The sequence below is a fragment of the Homo sapiens genome, chromosome 8, assembly GCF_000001405.40.
Source record: "Homo sapiens chromosome 8, GRCh38.p14 Primary Assembly".
NCBI classification, from domain to species: Eukaryota; Metazoa; Chordata; class Mammalia; order Primates; family Hominidae; genus Homo; species Homo sapiens.
The window spans coordinates 117,430,922-117,450,336 of NC_000008.11; the positions used below are offsets into that span (position 1 = coordinate 117,430,922).

General features: G+C 38.7%; 1 long non-coding RNA gene across 7 annotated transcripts in view; it reads right to left on the minus strand.

Annotated features, from left to right (window-relative positions):
* LOC105375716 (uncharacterized) overlaps nucleotides 1–19,415 on the minus strand; it is a 436,284-nt gene that overhangs the window by 346,485 nt on the left and 70,384 nt on the right. For all 7 annotated transcript variants that reach the window (XR_007061067.1, XR_928569.3, XR_007061068.1 and 4 more), the window contains one exon: nucleotides 10,039–10,291. This is a non-coding gene — a long non-coding RNA (uncharacterized LOC105375716). The remainder of the gene's footprint in view (nucleotides 1–10,038; nucleotides 10,292–19,415) is intronic.

The window sequence follows — 19,415 nt, forward strand, 5'->3', positions numbered from 1 at the left end:
TAAAATTAAATAATTGAAATCTAAATCTTTATCTTCCACAGGCCATAATTCCAAGTGACAGGCTATGACCTTTCAGGCTTCCCTGGTTTGTGTTTTTTTCTTTTTGGAGTGATTAAAAAAAATACTGAATGTTGAATGCATAAATGTAATTAGCTTTAACAGTGAATACTGAAAGCAAATGAAATGTGTATCAAAAGAGAAATGACTAAATAAAATAGAGGAATAAGATGTGGTCTATTTGGATTATGGAATATCATACATTAACTGATAGGAAAGATTTGGATCTGTGTATCAATATGTAAACATCATAAAAATATGTAGAGTAAAAGCAAATTGCAGAAGAGTATGTATAGTATGATCCCATTTACCCAGTAAAGAAAAACCTACAATACTATATGTGTTCTATGAAAAGTACACACAAACATGGATATTAAAGGGCATGGACACTCAACTCATAAGGGATTATTCATGATGACAGGAGTAAAGAACTAAAATTAGTAGTGCAAATTATTGGTAGTGGATATAGTAAAGATACAGTGCTTCATCTGTAATGTAATACTTAAAAAATAATAAACATATTATTTAGGTGATTAAAAAATGGAAATAAGGGGAAAATCAAACAGAAAAGCATAACATGCAGAATAGTGGAGTAGCAATCAGGGCTGAAACTCCAAATGTGACTCTGTCAATAACAACCATTTAGCATGTGAACTCATTTATTCTCTGAGTACCAGTTTCCTACCTCAGCTAAAGCATAAGGACATCAGCCAAGAGAATCACTAAAGTTCGAAGTTTTCAGACATTGAGATGTTTTTGAATTGTTGATATTTCATAGGATAGTGAGCAAATAACCAATGATATTTAGCACAAATGTCAGAACGTCAGTGGGTGAAAAAGCACAGTGACCTAAACTGCCAGGACACTTCAATACTGTTTAGTGATTTAGAAAGGTTAAGCTCCCCAAGTAACACATCTTGTTAGAATTCCAGAATAGAGATGCCTACCTGGGTTTTCCCACTCAGGGCTCCTGAATCTGGTCTCTAACTGCATGATCTAATTCCTCCAAGTATCTATGTGTGACAACACCCACGTGAGTATTTAACTCAAGATTTCCATGAAGATGACCACAGGATTTGTTGAAAATGAAAAAAAAAATCTACAATTTAATCTCTACAATTAAACATCAATCTAAAAACAATACACAATAGATTCTGGCAACAATCTCTGGTTTCTCCTCACCAGGAGGATTGATGGTAACTCTTGACTATAATGGCTAAGAAAAGAGCCTCTAGGCCGATCTTATCTGGAGCTTTCTTCATATTTTCCATGTTGTTCTCCTATCCCCAAATCTACTCTGGGATATCCACTTTTGGTGTGAAAGGTTTCCACTAAACCTTAGCCTTACGTGAGAGTTTTGCTTGATTTCAACACTCATTTGCCAATGCACCACTGCAACCCTCAGTCTCTTACTTGAACATTCTTTCTATACCTAAAACATCCTTGCAGGAATGCTGATTCTGTGATGACCCCATTCCACTCCAGTGTCCATGGGAAGAATTTTAAAGTCACTTTGCTGGGATAAGTGTTTTTCCTCTCTTGGGGTGCAAATTGAAATAAGTTTTCTCTTTGAACAATGAAATGGTCACCTCCTGTATGTAGCAGGAATTGATATTTCCATTCTCCCTCTTTTAGTAATAGGGTCTTCAAACTTGAGTTCAGCATATGACCACCAAACTAGAAATTACATATGGTATCTTCCCTTACAGCTAAATATGGCATGTGACTAATTTCAGGCCAATGGAATGCAAATGTGATGTGTGCAACTTTCAAGTTATGGCCCTAAAGGGAAGGTGTGTGCCCTTCACTTCCCAATTCTTCATTCCAGTAACTAAAATATGATGACGAATCTTCTTCAGCCATGTGGATGGAAGCAATACCTAGGGATGTCAGAGGAACAAGAGAGAGGTCTGAATTACCAACCCTTGGAACAGCCCTGGTCTGCTTCTCTTCAGACTTACGTAAAATAGATTCATGTTCTATCTTGCTTAAGCCAGAGTTATTTTGGGTCTTGTCAGAGGTATGAAACAATGTACTAATGAATAGAATCTGGTACTTATAGTGGGATAATGGCATAACACAATTGAACATATATGACATTGGCTTAATGGTTAGGCAGTGAGTGGCAAGGACAAAAAAAATTCAGGCTAAAAATTGAATTGCAAAACATTTGGTAAAAACGCTTCTTTCATTTCCTATGGCTGCTCTATAAGACTACCACAAATTTAATGGTTTAAACCAACAGAAATTTTTTTATCTTACAGTTCTGGAGGTCAGAAACCCTAAATGGCTCTTACAGAACTAAAAATTAAGTTGTTATCATGGCTATGCTCTGTTCAGCAGGCTCTAGGAGAGACCTATTTCCTTCCTTTTTCCAGCTTCTAGGGATGCCTGCATTTTTTGGATCATGGCCCCTTCCTCCATCTGCAAAGCCAGCAACAGCAGGTCAAATCCTTCTCACTACAAATCGCTTTGACCTCTTCTTTTGCCTCTTTCATCTACCTTTAAGAACCAATGTGGTTTTGAAGAATCCACTTAGACAGTCCAGGATAAAGTCAACTATTTGATCTTAAAGTCAGATGATTATTAACCTTAATTGCATCTGCTATCTTAATTCCTCTTTGCCATGTAAGGTATGTAGTCACAGGTTCTGGGGATTAGGGCATGGACATCTTTGGGTAAGGGTGAGGGGTGCTTATTATTCTGCCTATCACAATGTCTCCTGTGATAACTTGGACATCAGAACCCATGCTAACTGAACCCACTTTAGGAATGCGTTGATTTTTTTCAGAATATCAGTGCAGGATATTGTTGACTGCTTCTTGTCATTTTTAGCAAAGTCCTGTAAGAACGGGCTGAATCCTAGCTAAAGTCAGCCTATTTAAAAGTAGAGGTAGAAGGTAATTCAGTTCCATTTGGGTCATTTTTTTCTTTTTCTTTTTTTTGGGGGGGGGTGGGGTGGGGAAGGGTCTAGATAGTTGGAACCCTACAGGGTTGGAAAGTTAATGGCTTCTCTATTCTGGTGACTCCGAAGAAGCAGCCTTAGCTGGAGACAAGCCTATAGGCTAGGCTTTGCTCAAGCACTTCCCAGTAAGTTCTCTCTGCCAGACAATGGGAGGGGGCACAGAGGCACAAACTGGACTTAGGATCTTTTCTTCCCAACCAAATATATTTTTTAATGACCTCAGCTACCTTCAAAAAAAAAAAGTCAGATTGAGAATGGGCAGCACATAGAGGACCGAAAATAGATTGAAATCTTCATGCTTAAGAGGTATGTTGGATGAGACCATTGGCTGTTATTACTGTCCTATAGAATTGATTAGAAATAAATAGACCCGGGGGGTGGAGCCAAGATGGCCGAATAGGAACAGCTCCAGTCTATAGCTCCCAGTGTGAGTGACGCAGAAGACGAATGATTTCTGCATTTCCAACTGAGGTACCAGGTTCATCTCACTGGGGATTGTCAGACAGTGGGTGCAAGACAGTGGGTGCAGTGCACCAAGCATGAGCCAAAGCAGGGTGAGGCATCGCCTCACCCGGGAAGTGCAAGGGGTCAAGGAATGCCCTTGCCTAGCCAAGGAAAGAGGTAACAGACAGCACCTGGAAAATCAGGTCACTCCCACCTTAATACTGCACTTTTCCAGTGGTCTTAGCAAACGGCACACCAGGAGATTGTATCCCACGCCTGGCTCGGAGGGTCCTACGCCCACGGAGCCTCACTCATTGCTAGCACAGCAGTCTGAGATCAAACTGCAAGGCGGCAGCAAGGCTGGGGGAGTGGCGCCCGCCATTGCGGAGGCTTGAGTAGGTAAACAAAGCAGCCTGGGAAGCTGGAACTGAGTGGAGCCCACCACAGCTCAAGGAGGCCTGCCTGCCTCTGTAGACTCCACCTCTGGGGCAGGGCATAGCCAAACAAAAGGCAGCAGAAACCTCTGCAGACTTAAATGCCCCTGTCTGACAGCTTTGAAGAGAGTAGTGGTTCTCCCAGCATGCAGCTGGAGATCTGAGAATGGACAGACTGCCTCCTCAAGTGGGTCCCTGACCCCCCAGTAGCCTAACTGGGAGGCACCCCCCAGTAGGGGCAGACTGACACCTCACACGGCTGGGTACTCCTCTGAGACAAAACTTCCAGAGGAACGATCAGGCAGCAACATTTGCTGTTCACCAATATCCACTGTTCTGCAGCCACCACTGCTGATACCCAGGCAAACAGGTCTGGAGTGGACCTCCAGCAAACTCCAACAGACCTGCAGCTAAGGGTCCTGACTGTTAGAAGGAAAACTAACAAACAGAAAGGACATCCACACCAAAACCCCATCTGTACGTCACCATCATCAAAGACCAAAGGTAGATAAAACCACAAAGATGGGGAAAAAAACAGGGCAGAAAAACTGAAAATTCTAAAAATCTGAGCGCCTCTCCTCCTCCAAAGGAATGCAGCTCCTCACCAGCAATGGAACAAAGCTGGACGGAGAATGACTTTGACGAGTTGAGAGAAGAAGGCTTCAGACGATCAATCTACTCGGAGCTAAAGGAGGAAGTTCAAACCAATGGCAAAGAAGTTAAAAACCTTGAAAAAAGATTAGATGAATGGCTAACTAGAATAACCAATGCAGAGAAGTCCTTAAAGGACATGATGGAGCTGAAAACCACAGCACAAGAACTACGTGACGAATGCACAAGCCTCAGTAGCCGACTCGATCAACTGGAAGAATGGAACCAAGTTCACAGCCAAATTCTACCAGAGGTACAAGGAGGAGCTGGTACCATTCCTTCTGAAACTATTCCAATCAATAGAAAAAGAGGGAATCCTCCCTAACTCATTTTACGAGGCCAGCATCATCCCGATACCAAAGCCAGGCAGAGACACAACAAAAAGAGAATTTTAGACCAATATCCCTGATGAACATCGATGCAAAAATTCTCAATAAAATACTCGGAAACTGAATCCATCAGCACATCAAAAAGCTTATCCACCATGATCAAGCGGGCTTCATCCCTGGGATGTGAGGCTGGTTCAATATACGCAAATCGATAAACGTAATCCAGCATATAAACAGAACCAATGACAAAAACCACATGGTTATCTCAATAGATGCAGAAAAGGCCTTTGACAAAATTCAACAATGCTTCATGCTAAAAACTCTCAATAAATTAGGTATTGATGGGATGTATCTCAAAATAATAAAAGCTATCTATGACAAACCCACAGCCAATATCATACTGAATGGACAAAAACTGGAAGCATTCCCTTTGAAAACTGGCACAAGACAGGGATGCCCTCTCTTACCACTCCTATTCAACATAATGTTGGAAGTTCTGGCCAGGGCAATCAGGCAGGAGAAGGAAATAAACGGTATTCAATTAGGAAAAGAGGAAGTCAAATTGTCCCTATTTGCAGATGACATGATTGTATATTTAGGAAACCCCATCATCTCAGCCCAAAATCTCCTTAAGCTGATTAGCAACTTCAGCAAAGTCTCAGGATATGAAATCAATGTGCAAAAATCACAAGCATTCCTATACACCAATAACAGACAAACAGAGAGCCAAATCATAAGAGAACTCCCATTCACAACTGCTTCAAAGAGAATAAAATACCTAGGAACCCCACTTACAAGGGATGTGAAGGACCTCTTCAAGGAGAACTACAAACCACTGCTCAATGAAATAAAAGAGGACACAAACAAATGGAAGAACATTCCATGCTCGTGGATAGGAAGAATCAATATCGTGAAAATGGCCATACTGCCCAAGGTAATTTATAGATTCAATGCCATCCCCATCAAGCTACCAATGACTTTCTTCACAGAATTGGAAAAAACTACTTTAAACTTCATATGGAACCAAAAAAGAGCCCACATTGCCAAGTAAATCCTAAGCCAAAAGAACAAAGCTGGAGGTATCATGCTACCTGACTTCAAACTATACTACAAGGCTACAGTAACCAAAACAGCATGGTACTGGTACCAAAACAGAGATATATACCAATGGAATGGAACAGAACAGAGCCCTCAGAAATAATGCTGCATATCTACAACTATCTGATCTTTGACAAACCTGACAAAAACAAGAAATGGGGAAAGGATTCCCTATTTAATAAATGGTGCTGGGAAAACTTGCTAGCCATATGTAGAAAGCTGAAACTGGATCCCTTCCTTATACCTTACACAAAAATTAATTCAAGATGGATTAAAGACTTAAATCTTAGACCTAAAACCATAAAAACCGTAAAAGAAAACCTAGGCAATACCATTCAGGACATAGGCATGGGCAAGGACTTCATGTCTAAAACACCAAAAGCAATGGCAACAAAAGCCAAAATTGACAAATGGCATCTAATTAAACTAAAGAGCTTCTGTACAGCAAAAGAAACTACCATCAGAGTGAACAGGCAACCTACAGAATGGGAGAAAATTTTTGCAATCTACTTATCTGACAAAGGGCTAATATCCAGAATCTACAATGAACTCAAACAAATTTACAAGAAAAAAAACAAACAACCCCATCAACAAGTGGGTGAAGGATATGAACAGACACTTCTCAAAAGAAGACATTTATGCAGTCAAAAGACACATGAAAAAATGCCATCATCACTGGTCATCAGAGAAATGCAAATCAAAACCACAAAGAGACCATCTTACACCAGGTAGAATGATGATCATTAAAAAGTCAGGAAACAACAAGTGCTGGAGAGGATGTGGAGAAATAGGAACACTTTTACACTGTTGGTGGGAATGTAAACTAGTTCAACCATTGTGGAAGTCAGTGTGGTGACTCCTCAGGGATCTAGAACTAGAAATACCATTTGACCCAGCCATCCCATTACTGGGTATATACCCAAAGGATTATAAATCATGCTGCTATAAAGACACATGCACACATATGTTTATTGCGGCACTATTCACAATAGCAAAGACTTGGAACCAACCCAAGTGTCCAACAATGATAGACTGGATTAAGAAAATGTGGCACATATACACCATGGAATACTATGCAGCCATAAAAAATAATGAGTTCATGTCCTTTGTAGGGACATGGATGAAACTGGAAACCAACATTCTCAGCAAACTATCACAAGGACAAAAAACCAAACACTGCATGTTCTCACTCATAGGTGGGAATTGAACAATGAGAACACGTGGACACAGGAAGGGGAACATCACACACCGGGGCCTGTTGTTGGGTGGGGGTAGTGGGGAGGGATAGCATTTGGAGATATACCTAATGTTAAATGACGAGTTACTGGGTGCAGCACACCAACATGGCACATGTATACATATGTAACAAACCTGCACGTTGTGCACATGTACCCTAAAACTTAAAGTATAATAAAAAAAAAAAAAAAGAAAGAAACAGACCAGAAATTGACTAGGTTTTTTAGGAAATTATATGCTGAATGAATGGGAAACCTAGCTGACCAAAGCCTGGTGTTGCTACACACCTAAAACCAACATAACGTGGTTTGGTCACTGGGAAGGATATTCTCTCCTGTGTCCACTTCAGATGTAGTGAAGGGGGGATGGACAAGAAAAAATTTCCAGAGGAAAAAGCGAAGGGTTGGAGGAGGAGGGAGCAAGATGAAAGTAATGCAAGTTGAGTCCCTGGCCTCAGGTACAAAATTTAAGGTAGTGCAAAAACAGTCAGTAATCAAAATACTATTTTAATACAATGCTTTATAGAATCAGAATCAGTGCAAAACATCATGGATGAACAAAATAGCAAAATTTTTAATACTAACACGATCTGTAGCGGTGCCATAGGAAGTCATATCAGATCCTGAGATGAAAAGGAAAATCATCCATACAATCCTATCTTTATTAAACAGTGTTATTTTGTTCACCACAGATTTATAGATCATTTACATTCATTTTGTTTGTTTAAAATATATCATTAAATTTTTTTTGATTATCAAGTCTTTTTGTGCCCCCTTAACTTTTATGCCCCCTTAACTATGAGCTGGGTCCTAGAGCAGACACAGACATGAATTCAGAAAGTTCTGCCCAGAGAATAAAGCCAGGGATGCCAGATGAGCTAAAGAAGGGATTTACTCCATTGCTAGGGAAAGGAGTTGTTATGGGCTGAATTGTACTCCTCACCCTCTGCCAAATTCCTGTGTGGAAGCCCTAACCCCTAGTATCTCAGAATGGGACTCTATATTTGGAGATAAGGCCTTTAAAGAGGTGGATAGATTAAAATGAGGCCACTAGGGCAGGCCCTAATCCAAAGTGACTGGTCTCCTTATTAGAAGAGGGAGAGACATTAGGGCTGTGCGCAGAGGAAAAACCACATGAGGACACAGCGAGCAGGTGGCCATCTGCAAGCCAAGGAGAGGCCTCAGAGGAAACCACAACTGCTGACACCGGGATTGTAGACTTCCAGCTTCCAGAACTGTGAGAAAATTAATTTATGTTGTTGAAGCCAGGCAGTTTGTAGTATTTTGCTATGGCAGCTCTAGCAGACCTAGTACAGGAGCCTTTGGTATTCCTGTACATCAGCACTTGATCACTGTTATAAAGTGAGTACTGCCTCTTCAGACTCTTCTTTCTAACTCGGAGGCTTTTTGACTTTTGTTTGTGTGTTTTAATTGCAACTATACAGCTCCTACTCTGCTGTTTTACACTGGGGAGAAGTCAAATAACTAGTCTTTTAGGTTACAGTTCCCTGAACTATGAGCAGCCACACCTGGTTCTAGTGAAAGTCTATACATCACCTGCAGATCTGGGGCTTTGAGCTAGATATAGTACCTGGCATGCGACCCTTGGGGAAGGTTGAGTGTGTTCTAGGGGCAAAAAGAAGGATACATAAGATTACTAGGGTGGCCAAAGGAACTGACTGGGACAGAATTACTATTGTCTCCAATATCTACTTTCTCTTTGTTCATTAGTAACTGAACCCCACAATCTCAGCTGCACAGATGGCCATCCAGACAAAAACAAAACAAAACAACAACAAAAACAAAAATCTTAAATGGGACTATATATTATTTTTGAGCCACAGGAAATGACTGGAAGAGATATGTGCACCTGCAGATTCATGTCCTAAAAGGGAAGTGGTACATCCTCCCCTCTGTTTCTTCAACAGGCTGTTCCAAATGTCGACATTGTGACGAGCCATTTTCAACCACAGATAAAGGCTGCACCCACTGAAACCACAGTTGTTTTTGTCACCCAATTTGCCCCAGCAAGTTTAGATAAGAACACATCACTAGGAAATATTCATGACTATGTCCCTAAATCTGCAACAAAATAAGCTAGATACTACCGTTCTCTGGATTTGAGCAATTTTGGAAATTCAAATTTTGTTAAATATAAAGTGATTAAACAGTTTGGGGAATTAGTTAGCTGTAAGACAGCAAATAATAAGTGCTTCAGAAATCCAAAATCATTCTTTCTTCTCACATAACATTTCAAGTATAAGTAGTGGGGTTTTGAGGGTGGCACCATAATATCTAGGATAAAAGCCTCTCCCATTTTGTAACTTTGCCATCCCAGATTTATATTTCTAGCCCTGACCCATCTCCTGAGCTTCAGAATCATTTATCCCATTGCCTAATCAACATCTCCACTAGGGTATCTGAAAAAGACCTCAAACTAATTTCTAAAACAGAATTCTTTCTTTTCTCCTGTAAACCATAGCTCCCCTGTCTTTCCCATGTCAGTAAATGCACTACTATTCATCTAGTTGTTCAAACTCAATGGCTTAGACCAAAATTCTGGGAATTATTCAAGACAATTTTTTGTCTGCTTGAAAATGTATCCCAAATCCGACCACTTCCCACCACCTTCACTGTTGTCCCTGTTGTCAAGACCATTTTCCCTGAATTCTAAAATCACAGGAACAACCTAATTGTACTCCCTTTACTTTTAGATGGTACAGTTCATCCCCAACACAGAGGCTACAGTGTATTAATATTCTATTGCTCCTGTAACAAACTGCCACAAACTTGGTGGTTTAAACAATATAAATTCATCATCTTACTCTTTTGTAGGTCAGAAGTCCAACTTGACTCTCACTGGGATAAAGTCTAAGGATTGGCTGGCTGCATTATTTTCTAGAGGTGCCTGTGTGGAATCTCTGCCCCAGCTTCTGCAGGCTGCCCGCAATCCAGGGCTCATAGCCCCATTCTTCCATCTTCAAAGCCAGCAGTGGTAGACTGAGTTCTCTTCGTATCACTCTGACCTCTCCCACCTTCTTCCACTTTTAAAGATCTTTGTGATTGCATTGGGAGCACCTGCAAAATCCAAAACAATCTCTTTAAGACTAGCTGATTAGCAACCTTACTTCCATCTGAAACTTTCATTCCCCTTTGACATGTAATGTGATATATTCACAGTTCCAGAGATTAGGGTATGGGCATTTTTGAAGGACTATTATTCTGCCTGTCATACAGTGTAATTTTTTTTTTTTTTTGAGACGGAGTCTTGCTGTATCACCCAGGCTGGCATGTAATGGTGTGATCTTGGCTCACTACAACCTCCACCTCCCAGGTTCAAGTGATTCTCCTGCCTCAGCCTCCTGAGTAGCTGGGATTACAGGCATGCACCACCACGTCCGGCTAATTTATTGTATTTTTTGTAGAGACAGGGTTTTGCCATGTTGGCCAGGTTGATCTTGAGCTCCTGAGCTCAGGTGATCCACTCGCCTCGGCCTCCCAAAGTGCTGGGATTGCAGGCGTGAGCCACCGCGCCTGGCCACGCAATGTAATTTTTAAACATGTAAATCAGACCTTATTTCCCCCTCTCTTTTAGATCCTCCATTGCTTTTTCATCCACACCTGGAACAAATCCAAAATCCCAGCAAACAGGCCTTTCACAAGCTGCCGGCCTCTACTCTCTCATTCTATTCCTCATCACTGTCTCCCCATTCATTAATATGCAGTCTCACCAGTTTTATTGCTGTTTCCCAGAATGCCAAGTTCATTCCCATCTCAGAGCCCTTGAATATTCTCTTTTTTTTCTGCCAGGAGCTTTTCCCCTAGTTATCTCTACATGGTCCCCACCCTTACTTCATTCATTCTCTACCCAAAGGGTCCTTCCTCAGAAAGACCATCCCTGATCATTATCTGTCACTGTCATTCATCATATCTGGTGTCAGGCATTATGGTACCACCATATCAATCTTACTGTGAGTTATTGTTATTCATTGATGGCATTATGTATTTATTTGTCCATTTATTCATTGTCTGTCTCTATCACCAGAATGTAAGCTCCATGAGGACAGGAAATTTGTTTTGTCCTTTTCTCTGCTTCATCTGCAGCACATAATGGGTGTCCACACCAAATGAGTGAATAAAATGGTTGAATGTATGAAAAAGTAGCCTATATACTCAACAGTTTTACCTGGTCTCAAACATTGAAATAACCCAACCACTCTTCTGCAAGAGATGAACCATTTAGATTCAGAAAAATCTAGGCAGAATTCTACATTTAAGCCTCACTCAGTCCTATTTGCAATGCAATTGAAAGCCAGAGATTTGTTCCATTTTCTTCTTTGTGTGTCTTGGTTTTCAAATGAGGTGTTTAATAATTCCAGCCAGGATGCTGAGAATGCAGCAGACTCTGTGTTGAGCCTCCTGTTCCACCTTGGGGATTCTCACACAAAGCAGGACAGCGTTATTAATCCACTCTCTACAGATGCTGCGGTCGCACCTTGCAGATTGTCAAAGAGAAGTGACAGATGTGCAGTGCCTAGCAGCCTTGAAAGTCAACTTATGGGGTTCTGGAATTACGGCTTTCAGAAAAGTCATTATTGATCAAGTAAAGTTTCCAACTCAGAGAAAGTGAGGGCTTGAGGAAAACAACATTGTTTCAGAACACAGCTGGCTTGATCTGGATTGTTCTTAACATTCTGAACCTAAGCATCTCAATTGAAAAAAGTGTATATGGAGAATCTGCCATGAACCAGAACTTATGCCAGAGACCACAGCATTCAAAACAGAAGGAAACACTGTCTTTGTTCTCTGGACTTTCATACTCATGGTAGTGAAATTGTGATTCACACTAAAAAGTCCACAGATGTGTCAATAATGTGTCTCTTTAAAACTTAGAAAAATGGCCATCTTCCAATCACCACTTAAAATATTACAGGTGGACTTTGATATTTGCTATAGAAAACAAACAAAAGCCACTATCAAAATTACTATTTTTTTGTACCATGATTATAGAGTAGGTTTGTGGAATAGGATTAAATTCCCTGATCATGTAAGCAACAAAGAAAATAATTGCAAAAGTTGTTGTCATCTGTACCTAGATTTTAAAAAAGCTTTCCATTCATACTAGTTTGAGATTCTGTATCCTGGTCACTGAGTCTTGACTGAATGTATCTAAAACTTACCTCCTTTTCCATTTTGACTTCCTCTCCTGGGATTTATCTGCCTCTTCAATTCTTAATGCCTGCCTCAAGTCTTGGCTACTTTGGGGTTTCTGGTCACTTATAAATGACCACTATTTGAAACCTTGAACACAAGGTTTCTAAACCACTCAGCTGGCACACCAGTGCATAACTCCTGCCTGGCTTTCTGCCCACATCCTGCAAAGAGAACCCTCTTCTGTTGCTCTCTGAATCGCAGAATGACAGCCATAGAGATGGTGAAGTGAAACTGGGCACTCTTAGAGATCAGGCTAGCTTCAGATTCCTTCTGCTAGACACACTGACATTTTCTGAATAACTAAAATTTGAGCTTTGAAGATAGGAAGAATTTTGTTTGAATCTCTTCAAAAGAAATAATGTGCTACTACACATGGTAGGGACTTGTCTTATTAAAGAAAATGTAATTAAGATACTTTATAAGATAAATAAATTAAATGACAAAAGCAACTGATTCGCTTTTCACCCTGGAAACCTATTTCTCAGTATTCTACACAGGTCTCAAATCAAGAAAAATATATTTGATATCAGTGTTTCCACAGGATAGATGAAAAACATAGATAATAGATAGATGATGTTGTTGTTGATGAAGATAGATTAGATAGATAGATAGACAGATAGATAGATAGATAGATAGATAGATAGAATAAGAACTGAGTTCTAGAAGAAACTCTAGAAGAAGACAGGAACATTAGCCAACAGGACATATATTCAGTCCACCTAAGGCAATTCTCAGCTTGGCTTCTCTGAAAGAAATGAGATAGTAAAACACTAAGAAAATCTTTAAAAGGAAGAGCTGATCCTTTGCATTGTTTTTGGCAATAAAACACTGAGCTTTCAGAGATTAGCAAGAAAGCCAAGCAATGACCTGACGTTCCAGGTCACTAGAAGATGCTGACTTAGACATGATTATATTAGTGCTTTGTTCAGGGACTTCCAAGTGAATGCACATACAACTGATAGCTTCAAAATTCGGTCTTTTAAGTAAGCATTGCTTGAAAGCGATATCTTAATCCATTTTAATTATTTTTTTCTTAACCATTTGCATCTCTGTGTTCTCCTGGTAAAAGAAGTGTGGTGGCTCTACAGCAAATATGTTTTACAGCTTTTGTGTTTGGAGAAGGTGGAAGGAAAGCAAGGAAGCTGGTGTTTACTAAGTTTTTCCTATGTACCAATTATTTCACATATATTAATAGATTTCATCCTTAGTAGTATCCAGTATTTGTCTAATAATCTAACTGTAGAAATAAGAAGCCTAAAACTCAGCAAATTTTCTAATCATATGGCTGGGGTTTGCACTCAGGTATGTCTGACTTTTGAGGTCACACTCTTACCAATATACTGGCTGCTGAAGAACTTTAGGTTTAAAGAAAGGGAAAAGGAAAATTACAGGGAGAGGGAAAGCATAGAGCTGCAGTCAAACTCCATTTGTGCCAGACCTCACAGTTCAAATGCATAGCAGCATAAGACCACCTGTCTGGTCTGTAGTGGAGTGCAAGTAGTAGGTAGACATAAGGAATCTTGACATACAAAGGGCTTTGGTGAACAATGAGCTCAGAACCTTTATCTTAGAGTTAAGGAAACTGAAACTGAGAAAGCTCCTTGTCCAAGGTTATACTTGATTTTTGAAAATTTGTCAACATCAGAGCTAAGCCTAGAACCCATAAATCCTCATTCTTAGTTCTAAACTCATTCCATTATTCCATTCATTCTACTTGAGAAGGAATTCTCAGACATAGGACCTGCAATAATTTCCTACGGAGATCAAAATCAAGTGCAGAAGAAAAGACTTTAGCCTGCGACCTGAGACTACTCAGAAATCCTAACATTTATTCAAAGTAATGAGTCCTTTGAAAAGACTCTTTCTTATTACAGTAAAGCATAAATTTAAATTGCAACCAAAAGAAAATAATTTCACCCTTAATCCCAAATTTATCTTCTGTGCATAAAGAGCATGGATTAAGAGACAGTATTTACTTGCTGTGTTGCCTTAAGTCACTAAACTTCTCTGAGCTGCATTTTAATTATCTATAAAACGAAGATAGTAATAATACAGAGGTTCCTCATTATCTCAATTTTATTATCTGAGTCTGCAGCATAATGAGACTGCACAAGAAATCAAAAGCCATCATAACATGAAAATATCCTCTAATGCTCTAATGAGTTGCTCATTTATGAAATTAGTCTGCTCTCTGCATCCCTTCTCTTTTAAGATTTGTATTTATCTCTAACCATCAAATCAATGCCTTGGATCATTAGTCTATAAATATCTTGCAAATCCTTTGGCAAGCAAAACTGTAAATCTCAGAAAAGTTTCAGACTCTCAAGCGATGAATGAGAGGAGTGCTAGAGAATAGTGCAAAGTCACACACAAAGCAACGGACATGGAAGGATCTGGCCTAGTTAGCATCTCAAAACCACAGAAGAGAGAAAAGGTAAGGTTGGTGACAGGGCAGGAATTTTAAAGAAAATGATTTGAGTATCAAAATAACAATAAAAATCTTTGGGAAAGCTGATTAAACCTTGAATGTTTCTCAAAAGTGACCTTTGAGGATTCTTTGAAAGTTAATAACATAAAAGGACATTGCATTATGTTCTCATTTATAGTTTTGCCAGAAATCATGTTTTTTTTTAAAAAAAGGACTCCATTATTTTCAGTAAACATGTCTTATTGTCATTATAACCAAAATTATTACATTTATGAAAAATATATTATTTTTATTACCTTTACTTTTTAAAGGTAAATTCTCAATTGAATCCTTTTTCCCTTATATACTATGAAATTTTTGTTGCAGCTTTAAGTGAATTTTTTGTAGTGAATAATTAAATTACCCTTGCATAATAAGGCTCTCTTTTATCTGTACCATCTTCTATTGTTATAGTAAACAAATGAGATAAAACTTGCAAATGCATTTTACAGATTCTATAGTGCTACGTTAATGTTAGAATTTACTTTGTTTCCAAAAAAATGTTTATTTATTATGTGCAAGTTACCTCCACATACATTATTTATTTTATTCTCAAAACAACTCTTGGAGGTAGGTATATATCATCTCCAAACTATAAATTAGCCAAATGAAGAAACTTGTTCAAGGTCACATAGCTATTAGGTGGCTTAGTTATACTGAGCACCCACATTGGCTGTTCTCAAGTCTAAGGTATTCATTCTATTAATTTGGACCATATGAAGCCACCAATTTTCAGTTCAATAATGGCTGAACATCTGCCTTTCATATGATTCTACCTTTCACATTCATTCAAGAAGTATTACTGTCTATTCCCCATCAGATACTAATCTGAATTCTAGGGATATAGTAGTGATCAATACAAGCAAGGTCACAGTTCTCATGAAAGTTACATTCTAGTATAGACCATAACATATAAACAATAAAGCAAATAATTTAAATAAACAGAACAAATGGCTTACTGTTGTTATGTGCTATGCAGAGGATTAATAACAAGTAGCCTATACAGAGTGTCTGCTATAGGTCATATAATGTAGCACTTTGCATATATTAAGTTATTTTATTCTCATAACTCTATGAAGTAGGGAATATTACTATCCTCATTTTTTGGATGAAAATGCTGAAGTACAGAGAGGTTAAGTTACTTGTCCTGAGTCATGTAGCTGGTAGTGAAGGAGCCAAGCTTCAAACCTAACCAATCTGACCCTCAGAGGTACTCTTAAGCACCATGCTGTACAACAAGTCAATGGGATAAAAGTAACTGATATCTAATAGATAACTAGAATTGCTTCTCAACATCATATTTTTTATTAGTAATAGTACAGTGTTCAGTCTTCCTACACAAATACAAAATATAATGGATTATCTCAAATAATAAATTCTTCCCTCTAGTTCTTTTGCCAAATGGGGATTGTAGGAATCGGAGCACATTAGCCAAGAACAGTTTCGCTCAAAGTCTACACAACTGCTTAGGCTCTCATCGTCTCCATATGGACCCCCTGCAAGATTGTATTAACATGCACAATATATTCATAGTCTTGAGGACAACAGTTTACCACTCAATAATACTGGAACTGCACCATACAGTCCTATGACTACTCCCTCCAGGAAGGTGCAAAATTGGAAAGAAGTGTTGAGTGAACTGGAAATAGCCGACCTCAGGATGATTTCATCTCTCTCTTGTTGCCTCTTTACTTACTGTTCAGCTGTGATCCTTGCTCATCCCCAGATCCGAAGATCAGAGGAAATGATGATCGTATTTCCAATTAGAACAAATCGTAGCTATCTTGAGCTGTATCATTAATCCTTTCAGGGACATTTGTATTGTGTTACTCATTCTGTAGCCTAATGAGGCATAAAAGAAGAATCTCTTTCCTTTTCCTGTATCCAAATGTAGGTCCAAATAATTGCTCCTGCTGCTAGAGACTAAGGTTAATTTAAAGTAAAGACCCAGCAGGGGAAATGTTCACTGTCTAAGCAATGGAATCAAATGTGGATAGGCACTGTCATAAACCTATCACCTCGAGACTTTCCTTTTTGCAATTTGATCCTCAATTTTGTAATGCCTATTTGCCTACTGTTTATGAGTGTCAGAATTTTCCATTCCTTATGGAACAATGATTTTTTTCAATAAAATTATTTAACATAGTTCCCTATGGTGAGGACATTTTCACAGGCCCTTTCACTGGAGGGTCTAAAGTATGCTATAAATTCACTCATTTTTTTCTGCAATCAAAAGGAAATATATATATTTTTCCACTCTGTTTTGAATAGGATTAGAAAAGAATCCTCTCTTCGGCATTCTCAGACACAGGAAGTGTTTTCTGGGCTGTTGCTATGTGCTTTAGCAAATTAGTCTGCCAGTCTCCTTAGGAACTCTGTCAGTTAGGTAGTTTGCTATATGTGCTTCCAAATTATTGATTTTGGATCAAACTGTAAGATGCAATAATAAGAACATATTTACCAAAAGTAAGTGAGTTGAAAACCTAATCCAGATTTATGTTTGAAAACTACTATTATCAGAAATGAAGGGACTAGAGTTAAATCTACCCAAGAAATGCTACTAAGTTGAAAGCCAAATAGTATGTTAGGAGAAATTTGGATTATCACTCCAAACTTCTTTATTAGTTCACTTCTTGCTCAATGACATCATTCCCTTTTAAGTATTCAAAGTGTCTATAGTATGTTCACCCATTTCCTAATCAAAACTTGCTCTTAGAAAAAGATCAGATACTTTACTTATGTTAGAGATGTATATTTGAAAATCAATTCCATGTGAAATAAGTAATTCTAGTTGTAGTTATGAAGTGTCAATAATCATAAAGCAGGCTAAGGAAATTTTGTTTTGTCCTATGAATGAGGCATCTTGATACACTGAAATCACACAATGCAGGCTAGGAATATAATTGCAACTTGGTAAACAATCAAATTCCTTGAAGACTTTAGAGATTTGTAGCTACATTTATTGAATTATAAAGCCAGTGCTGATTGTGCAAGTGAAAACTATCTCTTTTATAATGTATAGAAGACAGATAATTAACATATTAATAAAGATGAAAAAACTAATATTTAAAATCAAAACAGACTCTATTGCTAACTACTGAGAGCATACTTTATATCATTGGAGAAATAAATACTTACGTAGCTCCTCTGCTCTCATACCCTTGCAGAAACTGGAGAGGGAGAATAAGACCACAAGGCAGTGGCCTGTGGCTTTGACTCTGAAGTCCTAGGATGAATTTCAGAATAAGAGCTGGAGAAAACTTCATGAAAAAAAAATAATAATAATTTGAGGAGGGGTAGAGTTTCTTCTCAGGGGAAGGACATTGGGAAGAGAGAAGAGAGCAGAAGAGAAAGGATAGTGTTGATAATAAGTCTTCCTAAAAGAATAGCAAATATTGGTTTATTTTTGTGATTTCACTGAAACCATCTCCATCTTCACAAACAGGAAAATATCCAAGATTGAATCTGCCAATATGCCTCATGGGAGCATTTTTGTTTTTCTTTTTTGTCATTTTTGAAGGAAATGGAAGAAAGGGTTTGTGTTCAACATATACATCATGGAATGAGGACAGCACACTTGGTATTAGAGGATAATTCAGACACTGTCCTATTTGATCAGAAGCCAGATCTCAGCCCCAAAGACGACCAGGATGATGCAGACATCACTGCCATTACCACTCCCACAACTGCACAATCATATATACACACATGAACTATCTCTGCCACTGTCCATAGGAAGGAGTTTGAGCCAACTTTCTTTGAAACTCAAAGGTCAACTCGCATCTCGGCCACACATACAATATGTAGTTAATACACAGTATTTATGAAAGAGCTTTAGAAATATATTTAAATCTATCCAAATACGAGATGTAACATAGACGTTAGTATTTGTGTATTTTGATGGTAGCATTTGGTTGTTATCCAATTAAATTCCCTTAATTGTTTTGAATTTTACTAGGCAGCAGAGTGGGCAGACATATGGGAAAGAGGGAGGTAGAAAGGGACATACAGTACTCAACCCTAAAAGGAGCTTCCAGTTCGACCCTAAAGTATTATAAATGGAAGCATCCTGCACTGCAACTTTCTACCTTCACCCTAATGTAAAAATTTATGTCCTAAGATTTGGTGAAGGAACCAAACATGTATGACTCAGTTGCTACCTCATTCTTTTTATTCATACTCCCACCAATTGTGCATCCCTGAGGTGAGGACACATAGATCGAAATCAAGGTATTTTGTCTAGATGTTGGTCTGCATGCCTGTTTCTCTCAGTCACCACTAATAGACTTCAACATTTGTGAGGCAATAATTCTAGATAAGTGATTCTACTTGGCAGATCCAACTTCTTCAGCTATGCCTAGGGATAAAGGTAGCAGAAAGCCCAGTGGTGACCATAGATCCCAGTAAATTTCCCAATCTATATTTACAAATAATTCTAGTATTTTGATCCCTGTTCATCTTACTCCTAGCAATTTTCTCATAGATTTCAGACTTGAGCTCGGCTCAGGAGATGGATGATTA